Raw genomic sequence first — 11,968 nt, forward strand, 5'->3', positions numbered from 1 at the left:
ATTTCTCTGACCCTAAGAATTTCACCAATCCTCCATTTCTTCTTCACCTTGGAAGCAGAGGATATAAAAACTGTTTGAAAATTTGTAATTTGCAAAATGCGTAACCATTTTCTGAATATCTGCATGGATATAGTAGGGCTCTTTCCAACCCTGCATCCTAGAAGCAAATTCTTGCCTACAAAGGGGGTTTTCTGGGCTCACTGGTGGTCATAGTCTAAAACGTATCTGATCTAACCCCAAGTGGGGCTGCTTACTCAACAAGAATTGTGCTCTCAATGGCTTCAGGATTCAAACTTTGACCTATGGGTGGATATATCAGATCAGAATTATCCTCATTGTCCTGAGGATCTGAAGAATGTGTATGGAGGCGGAAGAGTAGGTGTCTGAAGCATTCGGTGATGGTCAGTGCAGCCACCAGCAAAAGGTTGGGAGCTGAGGTTCATCATCATCTCCCTCACCATCATCACTATCATCACCACCATCATCATCATTAACATCGTCACTATCATCATCATCACCATCATCATCATTACCATTACCATCTTCGTCACCATTACCACCATCATCACCATCATCATCACCACCATCGTCATCACTACCATCACCATCATCACGATCGTTATCGCCATCACCATCTTCATCACCATGACCATCATCATCACCATTACCATCATCATCATAATCATAACCATCACTATCTTTACCATCATCACCATCATCACTGAAGCAGAGAAGGGGGAAAACCTTGAAGCTTAATTTTCCCCATAAATATCATTCCCCTCATAAATATTTTTAAGTCCCCACCATCCATAAACAAGTACCCAAAGACCATTCCCAGCTCACAAACATATTTTATTTGCTGCACAGAATGTGGCCACCCTGTTGTTGTTGTTGTTGTTGTTTAAATCACTGCAACATTTTTAAAGTGAGAGATTTCATATCAATGTCCTAATTTCTCTTGAAAATTGGCATATTGAACCACCCTGGGCTCTTCCACTTGGCAACCATTGGCTGCAACTGAGAAATCCTTGCATCCTTCAGAGAACATAATCTTTGGAATTCACTACAGTTATCACCACACGCTACTGACTGAGGACTATCAGCTGAAATAATCCCCATTGCCTGATCTGTTCTTGTCAGTGTATGGATGTTCTACTCCTACATTTCAAAATTATTTGGTTTAAATTCTAATTTGCCAATTTCTCCTTTGATGGTGTAACTGCTATAAATAAAAATAACATTTAAGATATTCATGTTTTCAACCCGACCAGCCCAAACACTTAGTATAATTTTAATTGAACAGCATTCAGGATTCAAGGTTTCTGTTCCCTTCCCTGGCTCACAAAGGCACAAATCTTTATTCCTAGAAGCCAAATCAACAATGATGCTTAAAATATATATTATTCAATAAGGGTGTTGTCTCCATATGGCAAATAAATGAAACTGCCTGAAAGGGTTATTCTATGCTCTCAAGGTAGAAATGGCCTTTCTAGGTTAGACAAATGAATTTGATGATATAAGCCATATCAAAAGGCAAATGAAAAAATTGGAGAAATTTTACAGTTCAAAAATACAGAAACAAGGCTAAGTATTCCATATATAAAGATCTCCTACAAATCAATAAGAAAAAAATGTAAAAAACCCAATGACACTGTTTCACAGGGATGATTCAAGTGGAGAACATGTATGCTCTTCAGAACTGCATGTGTGCAATTCAGGCAGGTGCTTGCATCACACACACACAGTGAGACTTCTCACTGCCTTCCTTTGGATTCACAGGTCTTTGTGTAGGCTGATGTGTGCTGGAGAAAGTCAAGTTATTCTTCCTGTGAGGATGTTTGTGCATTTGAATTCTAGCTGCCCCATGTGACCACTGATCTCCCAGATGGAAACATCTCATCCTGGGACCATTGAGAAATCCAGATGCCAGAGCTGGAGTCTGGAATTAAAAGCTTCAGCCAAACTGTTGGTTATCTGTAATGCACCCCAGCTGACTTAACTTGTCTCTTGGCTGAAAGTATTGGTGGGTTAGAGGCTATAAATGCAGACTGAGTCTGCACTCATTGGGCAGAGATTAACCAGACAGCTAGAGATGGGGATGGCGGGCTGGTCTCAAAGACAAAGCCAATACTTGATGAAAAGTGATAGGAAGCTGAAGTTGGCCTCAGGACACACATGCCCACTTGACTGTCTTCCACAGTAGTTCATGCTCCTCAATGCTCAAATACAAGCAAGTCTCCATGGAAGGCATCAGGCTTTCCCTCATCTTGCTACCTTTTACATATGACAGCTTCTCTACCCAGAACAAAGCTCTCTCCCTTTTCCTGCAGCCTGACTCCAACTCATCCAATGTTCGGGGGACAGAGACTGCTGGCTATTCCCAAGATGTATGCTTCCTTTCTTCTGTTAGCAGAAGGAGCCTAAAGTGTAGCTGGGAACATGGCTATTCCGCTCAAGAGTATTTATTTCCACCTCCTTTGCAATTAGCAGTGGCCATATGCTGAGTTAAGGCGAACGGTATTCAGGAGCAAGGCCTGTGGGCAACATCTGGGTCTTGTCATTAGAGAGAAGGGCTGTGGTGTGCCACCAAGATCTCCTCTTCTGGGCTGAAGTATTTATCCTCCTGGCTGCTTGAAGAGAGTGAACAGTGGAGTCCTGCCCTGGGAATTGCCTTTCACTTAGGCAAGCAGCCTCACTCCACAGCCACAGACCCAGCCCACATCCAACAACTGGCCAATGTACAAAGACCCAGCCTGCTTGTCCAATTTGGGACATCTCTAAATCAGCTCAGGTCTTCCTGCAACTGCATCTTAGTTCACTTTCATTTCTGTGCAGCCTTGCTTCCTTCACTGCCTTACAGGTGCTCTTCCCGTGAACACCCCCGGTGAATGTCCTATGCCGGTATCCCAAACTTGGTATCTATTTCCAGGAAACTCCATCCAAGAAGGGAGCGGTAAGCTGTAACAGGCAAGGTGAGCCATCGTTACTGTGCAGAGGTAGCAGAGGAAGGAAGGATCGTGCCTCCCTAACACCATAATGCCACCTACCAACCCTGGGCCAGGTGCTCAGAGTGCTACAGTGGAGAGAAATAAGTGACTTAGGTTTAGTTTCTCTGTTTGGCGATCTCTGCAACAGCCTAGGCAGAACTCACTGATAAAACCTACCTCAAAGGTAACCTCCCACCAGCCCCAACCTACATTCATATACAAACTAAGGTATTCTTTGTAGGAATTTACATAACACTTGCGCACACTCTTTGCTGCTCTGGGTCAGGAATGATGGTATCTTGTTTGCCTTCCTAAGCAAGTGGTCAGCTCATTTTGGCCAGACCTGTGTTTTGTTCAGCTTCTATAACCATAGCTCCTGCTAGTACAGAATGAATACTCCATAAATAATTATGAATGAATGCATAACTTTCTTTCATTCAGGGCCTCCTATTTCCTAAGAACCCCATCCAATTTGCTGTACCTAAGCAGAAGTGTAAATTGATCAGCGTCTCTTGACTCCTTGCCACATTGAAGAATTATCAATAAAATCAATAGCCAAACATTTGCTAAGGATGCTTCATGTGAACGTGTTTCAATTTCTTCTAATAGAAATCCTGTGAGATAGGCATGTGTGTTGTCCCCATTGACAGATAGGAAACAGGCTCAGAGAGAAGGTGATAAGACAAACTAGCAAGTTGAGAGGCAGGACTGGAAGTCAAATCTGCCTGACTGCAGAGCCTACATGTCTACTATTGTCTAAGATCTGACAAGCTCATTCACCCTTTTGTGATCACGCCATCTGCAACTCCTCCCAAGGCACAACATTGAAACCCACACAAGGAAGTTCCCGTGGTGACATTTCAAACATGAGGACCCATGTTTAAACAGAGAACATCTCTCTAATCTCACCAGCCCAGACCTGTCCTTACATAGAGAGTTGAGGAGAGAACTTCACAAGCCATAGTCTTTCAATACACACCCACCATCCAATCCCCATATATACCAATCTCTTTAATACCAATCTCAGTGTAATTAACTCCAGCCACTACAGCAGATGAGCCTGAAACCTCAGTGGCTACAATAAATGTTTATTTTGTGCTCACATCAGTGTCAAATGCAAGCCACCAGTTCACAAGGGCAGAGGTTCTCCAGTTGTGACTCAAGGATCCAAGCTGTTCCCTGTGGAACACATTGCTCCCAAGTTTTCAGTAGCAATGATAGAAATAATTGGAAAAACTTGTAAAATGTTTTAAAGCATGGAAATCAATTGCATCTACAATGAGCAACATCGATTTGCATTACTGCAGAGAGGAAACATTTGTGTTGCTCTCAGATAAGAATCACATGCACTGCTGTATTCTCTAAGTGAACTTCTACAGTTTTAAAATAGTTCAGTCAATAGAAAGCCAACCACAGAGGAACACCTAAGAGTTAATTTTTGCCTATTAAGTTTTAAATATTTTTTATAACAGATATAACATTGAATCCATACTGAGGTTATTCACTTTTTTTTTCTTTTCTTTTTTTTTTTTGAGATGGGAGACTCACTCTGTCACCCAGGGTGGAGTGCAATGGCGCAATTTTGTCTCACTGCAACCTCTGCCTCCCAGGTTCAAGCGATTCTCCTGCCTCAGCCTCCCGAGTAGCTGGGATTACAGGCGCCCACCACCACGTCCAGCTAATTTTTGTATTTTTCATAGAGAAGGGGTTTCACCAGGTTAGCCAGGCTGGTCTTGAACTCCTGACCTCAGGTTATCCACCCACCTCGGCTTCCTAAAGTGCTGGGATTACAGTCACGAGCAACTGCGCCCGGCCTGGTTATTCATTTTTTAATTGCTTTTCTAGTCTAATAAATTTTTTTTTTTTTTTTTTTTTTTTTTTGAGACGGAGTCTGGCTCTGTCGCCCAGGCTGGAGTGCAGTGGCGCAATCTCGGCTCACTGCAAGCTCCGCCTCCCGGGCTCACGCCATTCTCCTGCCTCAGCCTCCCCAGTAGCTGGGACTACAGGCGCCCTTCACCACGCCCGGATAATTTTTTGTATTTTTAGTAGAGGCGGGGTTTCACTATGTTAGCCAGGATGGTCTCAATCTCCTGATCTCGTGATCCGCCCGCCTCGGCCTCCCAAAGTGCTGGGATTACAGGTGTGAGCCACCGTGCCTGGCCTTATTCTGATAATCAAATCAACAAGGAAGTCTCCTTTGGGAACTTGGGAAAATTAAGGGCCAGGCCTAGAATGGATTACGTCACTTCTGCCCACATCTCATTGGACAGAATTAGTCATATGACCTCACCCAGGTCAGGGCGAGGAATAGAGATGTGAGTTGCTGTCTCCACAATGAAACTCAGAGAAATGTAAGTCAAAGGACTTGTAGAAGGCCTCTGCTTCTTTACTTGTAAAGTGGAGGGAGAGAATGGCTTCATCAAAGATTCCTATTTGGGAATATGCATCAAAATGACCCAGAGAGTTTTTTTGAAATTCGGATTCCTGGATGCTGCCCTAAAAGTTCGGACTTAAAATAATCAGGAATGAAGTTTTTGCATTTCTGATGCCAACACCCCTGCCCAGCCCTTCTCAGCATGACTTGGGTTGAGAACAATTAAACCAGGTGAGTTCTAAACCTTCTTCCATTTTTTATGTTCTTTAATTCTGGGGTGCTCTTTTGGATCTATAGGTAGAAAAACACAAAGAGAGGACTCACTCTCAGGGATATTAAAGAGCCACTTCTTTGTCACCAGGTTCCCAAAAGATAGAGGTGGGTCTTAGGACTCTGTATCTCTGCCTAGCAGAGCCTCATTGAGATTTCTGCATCTGCTTTCTCTGCTAATCATTCTCTGGACCTCATCTTGTTTTTACATTTTGCTCAATTCACCAAAACTCTGTGCAGCATCTTGGTGCAAGCATCCTACCTAGGAAACCGCCCTCCACCTCCTTGCCCATAGTCTTTTATAGGACCCAAAATCAATCTGCATCCCCCTATCATTTCGAACAGCTCCACAATTATCAATATGCATTTATCCTCTACATATAAAATATTGAAATGTCAATAACGCTTTGTTCTATAAAACACAAGGAGTGCTTACGTATTTTAAGGTTCATAAAACTTTACTTGAATTGATAGATAACTGGCATAAAGTTGATAATAGCAGTGGTGCTGAATCAGAAGAAAATTGTGATTTTTTTTTATAGTGACCTGAGACGTTCTTCCTTTTCCTAGAGAAATTAGCCTGTTCTCTTTGACATTATCTTTAGTGAAATTAAACTACAGGAAATAAATAAATAACTGAAAATAAAAACAAAAGGAAGGATGAGAGTCAGGAAGGGGATGCGAGGGGTTAACTTGGAGCTATTGAGTAAGAGGAATTGTCTGGTTCCTGGGTTCCAAGGAGCCCTCTCTGGAAAATATAACCTAAGAACTAAAGGACGAGAAGACCTGAGCACGAAGAGTGATGCATGGGTGGTGGGGGCATGTGGGTCACTTGCTCTCATTCCTTTCCATCCTCACCCTGTTAATAATAAGGAGGAATCATCTGCGTTCTGCTTACGTGATGCATGTGGGAGACATGAAGCCCACCTCCCACAAGCTGCCTTTCCAAACCGGGACAACACTGGTTCTCTGGAATAGGTGAGAGACCAGAAGAGAGTGCTGGCATTTGCCATCCATAAAAACTGGGGATTCATCAATGATAGACTGGATAAAGACAATCTGGTACATATACACCGTGGAATACCATGCAGCCATGAAATGGAATGACATCATGTCCTTTGCAGGAACACGGATGGAGTTAGAAGCCATTATCCTCAGCAAACTAATGCAGGCACAGAAAACCAAACGCCACATGTTCTCACTTATAAGTAGGAGCTGAATGATGAGGACACACGGACACACTGGGGGGAACAGCACACACTGGGACCCATCAGAGGTGGGTGGTGGGGGGAGAGAGAGCATCAGGAAGAAAAGCTAATGGATGTTGGGCTTCATACCTTGGTGATGGGATGATCTGGGCAGCAAACCACCACGGCTCATGTTTACCTATGTAATAAACCTGCACATCCTCCACATGTAGCCCTGAACTCAAGATAAAGGTTGAAGAAAAAGAAAGAAAACCCAGAAATTATCTCTCAACTGAGTCAGTAACTGCTCCAGAGGCAGAGTCTTCCTTTCACAGCTGATGCCCTCAGATGTACCCTCCTCTTAGGAGGCTCCTGCTGGAAGAGCACAGATCCACATCATACTTGATCAGGACCTGGTGTCCATATGTTTATGAACTTCAGAAATCACGTGGAATGCACATCATGGACCCAAGGAACTGCCCATCTCAAAGCCAACATTCGCCTAATCTGCCACTGAGATTATTGTCTGCCTCTAACAGAAGACTCAGAAATGCTCAAGACCAGTGCAAAGATACCAGAAGTCACAGAGCTCCACTCCTGTGCTCATCACCCCTGAAAAAGACAATTCTTTAGCATGATATAGAAATGTAGGCATGCTAAGGGAAGCAATGCATATTGGCAAGAAGAGGCTTATCTACGTAGGATGACTTTGGCTGTAAGCAACAGGGATAAAAACGGCTTAGGGAATAAAAAGAAACTGTATTGTCACATATCATAAGAAGCTCACTGCTAGCGCAGGCTCTATGCTTGGTGAATTCACAGCCCAGTAGCATCATCAAGGACTCGTGTTCTTTCCATTTTCCCACCCGCCATCCTGATCCTCCCTTTATTTTAGTGACCCCATGGTCACACAGCATAGTGGCTGCAGTTCCAGTGTATGTCCAGAAACAACACCATCGGCAGAAGAAGATGCAGCTATGTCTTCCTTGTTTACCCTTTTACGAGAGAGGCTACCTTTCCCAGACACTCACATGCATCCCCTCATGTCTCATTGTTTGGGACATGAACTTGGTCAAATATCCATCCTGACGAGGAAAACAGGAACAAGATTGGTTTAGCCAAGTGACTCACACACAGGACACTACAGCCACCTTCTATCTTGGAAATTTTCGTTGAATGAAGGAAGATTTTTTTTTGTCTTTTAGCAGAGTTGGACAGAAGCACTTAAATGTTAAAGTGATATTACTAAATGTTAAAATTTATGTTGCTAAATTTCTTAGAGAGTTCAAGAATGACACTGATTTTTTTAAAATTGTGTGCATACAAATAAGGTTGGAAGAGACACGTCAGAGAGTCCACCCACGTCTGTCTTCATAGACTAAAAGGATACATTATCCAGAGTTTAGGTCTTCTGTCTGGACTCCAAGACAGTGAACGGTTACAATAAGTTCATGCTTTGAGGTGACAGATGGCACCATCATATTCTTCCAGACGTAACAGACTCTAGTGACAGGTGACACCGACACAGATATAAACTCAGCTTCTCAGCCTCCCTTTATCCCTCTAGACCCATTCTTTACCCCTCTGCCTATTGCAGGTCCCAGGAAGCTGCATTCAATGGAAGTTTAGCCCATGGATGTACCTGACATGAGGCTGATAGATCAGAGGAAAAAGAGATTAGGTATTTTCCTCCCGCCCTTGCTGCCAGCCACATTCTCTCAGCACACCATCTCCTGCAGCTCACAGTCACTGGGCTCCAGAAATAGGCTGCCTCCCCAGCCCTTTCAGCCTGGGGGATGGTCACTCCCCTTTACTCTGTGGGTGCCTCCTTGTCCTTCTGGGATTCATTAACTCTACTTGCTCCTCTGGACACAGTTCCTTCATGCAGCTTGCTCCAATGAACTCTCCAAGAGTGGGGTCTGTTTCCTTGCAGTATTTTCCTTTGGGAGGTGTGAGGCTGGGAGATTCCTCTTAGCACTGTGTATTGCCTCATTCTGCTGACAGGAATGGGTATTATCGGTTCAATCAAAGCATAATAACGAACCTGGGCAGAGGTTCATGGCAAAGAAGAGACCGAGCTCCAGGTGCTGCTTGGAAAACCAGTGCCCAGCAGCTCAAAGCTTGGAGAATTGCAGCCACTGAAAATTCATTTTTCAGTTGAACCCGGAATCCTCATGATGAAATGATGTTCAAAGGAAAGGGCATTCTTTATTCTGTTGGGAGAATCTGGTTCATCCTGAGCTCCCAGCACCATGCCGATTTACAGGAACAGTCAGAAGAAGTTCCACAGTTTGCCCCTACAGTCCCACAAAGAAAATTTCCCCCAAGGCCCTGCTTTGCCCGCTGCTCTGAGTTTTATTACTGTGCTTAAACATGGAGAGGGATCTACGAGCATTGTCCAAATCCCCCCTCCTTGGAAAACTGTTTTACATAAATAGCTAGAATGACAACACGTCCCTGGACTGCTTCACATCAATGATTGGAGAAAGCTTCATCCTTACCACCAACTCCCCTCCAACACTCACATGCCTATTTTGTTCTTATATGCCTGGGTCATTCTGTGTAGTATAAAGGAGACATTTCTGGAAAGATATCTCAAAATGAAGGAAAAAAACTAGGACTTTTAAGGACTGGAAATAGCAGCTACAGTGGTTTGGATGGGGAAAAATGGGACTGAGGACATGGGAAAACCTGACCTCTGTAAGCCCCATTCCCGCATCTGTTGAAAAATCAAGCAAAACAGGCCACAGGATGATCGCATGAATTCCATGTGATAACATGTGTGCAGAGCCAGGCATGCAGCAGGTGCTTAATAATGTGAGTTGAATTATAAACCTCTCTCCATAACTAAATCGTTGTCATAATTATTTTAGTTATAATGGCTAAAAATAGCTCAAACTTATCTAGGAGTCAATTATTTGAAAACTCGAGGGATAGATGGGTTTCAGGAGCCGCTTGATCCAGGAACACCCACAGTGTCTCAGGGACTCAGTGTTCCTGTCTCCACATGAGCTTTTTCCCCAGATCCCACACGGTGGGCAGATGGCAGCCAACAGCTCCAAACCAAATGCCATTCAGGTCAAGCCTGGGGGAAAGTGTGAGGGAGTGTTTCTTTTGCAATAGGTAAATAAAACAACAAAATCAACTTAGCTTCTTTCAGTCCCATAGGTTCTAATTGATTACATGCTTATCCCTGAACCAATATCCTTAGGGGCAGGAGATGCTGATTGATCAGGCCTGAGTCACATGACTACTCCTGAACCAATATCCTTAAGGGAATGTGAAGCTCTGATTGATCAGGCCTGTGTCACGTGACCACTCTTGAGCCAATATCCTTAGGGGAATGAGATCCTTTGATTGATCCGGCCTGAGTCACGTGACCATTCCTGAACCAATATCCTTAGGGGAATGTGAAGCTCTGATTGATCAGGCCTGAGTCATGTGACCACTCCTGAGCCAATATCCTTAGGGGAATGAGATCCTTTGATTGATCAGGCCTGAGTCACATGACCACTCCTGAACCAATATCCTTAGGGGAATGTGATCCTCTGATTGATCAGGCCCATGTCACGTGACCACTCTTGAGCCAATATCCTTAGGGGAATGAGATCCTTTGATTGATCAGGCCTGAGTCACATGACCACTCCTGAACCAATATCCTTAGGGGAATGTGATCCTCTGATTGATCAGGCCTGAATCTTATAACCACTTCTGGAACAGGAGCTGGGTTCAGCTCCACCTGAAGCACATGAGCTGAGTGAGAGAAGGGGTGACCTTTGCCAAGGCAAATCAATCCCTCCGGCCTGGAGAAGAGTAAACGGATATCAGAAAACCAGACGACTGTTTTCCACTATAATCCACCACCCACAAAACAGTCTGCTTGGCAGAAAGTGTTGTTGGATATTTGTTTTTGTCTCCTTAACAATCCCCTTTGCCCAAGAACAGTAACCCCTTTCTTCTGGAAACTGGCCCTTGCCTCCCTGTCTTTGAATCTGGCTTACACGTAAGCTATATAGTGTTTTTACTTGACGAGAAAAGGCTTGGCAGAGAACCATTTTCTAAGCCTCAGTTTCCTTATTTGTAACAGGAAATAAGAATAACCCTTGCCTCATGGAGCCATTTTGAAGATTAAATGAGATAATCTGTGTAGACCAATCAGAAGATTAAATGAGATAATCTGTGTAGACCAATATCCGAAATATTGGAGGTGCTTCATCAACTTTAGATGTTTTTATTACGAGTAGACTGATGGCATTTGGAAAGAGTAGAACATAAAGATAATTCCAGGTGGGTTTGGAAACTTATTTCTAGAAACAAGGCAAGTCTTAGACTTACCTCCCATGTTCTATCTTCCAAATATTTTGGTGCAGCCTGATATTGTAATCAGTCTTAGACTCTTAGATAGCTGACGTAAGATCATTCTTTTTCCCTTAGTCAACTGTTTTTGTGGCACTGCTAAGAACTTGTCTTTGTAGTGTTGCATGCTCTATTCAAAACCCCCTTGAGGAAGAATTGATGAGTTGAAGTGTTTTCAAGGACTATTATGGATCTGGAAATGTACAAGTGACCCAGGGATTTGTCATTCCTCTGCCATTATAGTCTCAATGTCTATGCAAAGAATGTTCCCATCTGAACCTCAGGGCACCTGGCAATGTCTTGCAAGGCGGGTTTGCTGCCCACGGCCTTGAGACACCACAGTCCTGTAGGATGCACCTGTCCACCCGGTTAGGAACAGTGTACAGAGACAGCTCTCCCTACACCGAGGAAATGTCACATCTTCACCTTACAAGATGTGACACTTTCCATTTCAACCGACAAAACCCAACCCAGCCTCACCTAACCCAAAAGCTAACTTATTAACTCAGATAACCGTGAAGCCCAGGGGATGGCCAGATTACAGTGGCTGGATCCAGATTTCACATAATTATCACCAGGAGGTGGTGTCTTTCGGTGACATGGTTCTATTAATCGCTTTAGCTGTTCCAGGCTCAAACTCCACTTGGTGGTGGGATGCCTCACCCCACCTTTGCGTTCCCATCCTCATCCTCAAAGCCTCACCACCCTCGAGGGTCCTCAGTAGGTCTTTGGTAGCCAGATCTGCTGCTCTGGACTGTGGGTGGCTCTGGTCCAAGTTCCCTTGAGTTGCCAGT

General features: G+C 43.9%; 1 annotated feature.

The window, feature by feature from the left end:
* Positions 2,928-3,566: an enhancer, noted in NCBI's record as "NANOG-H3K27ac-H3K4me1 hESC enhancer chr12:130481778-130482416 (GRCh37/hg19 assembly coordinates)". NCBI's record gives its function as "activates a minimal SCP1, AML or CMV promoter by ChIP-STARR-seq in primed H9 embryonic stem cells {active_cell/tissue: H9 hESC(primed)}" and the evidence as "EXISTENCE:reporter gene assay evidence [ECO:0000049][PMID:30033119]".

Source organism: Homo sapiens, chromosome 12, assembly GCF_000001405.40.
Source record: "Homo sapiens chromosome 12, GRCh38.p14 Primary Assembly".
NCBI lineage: Eukaryota > Metazoa > Chordata > Mammalia > Primates > Hominidae > Homo > Homo sapiens.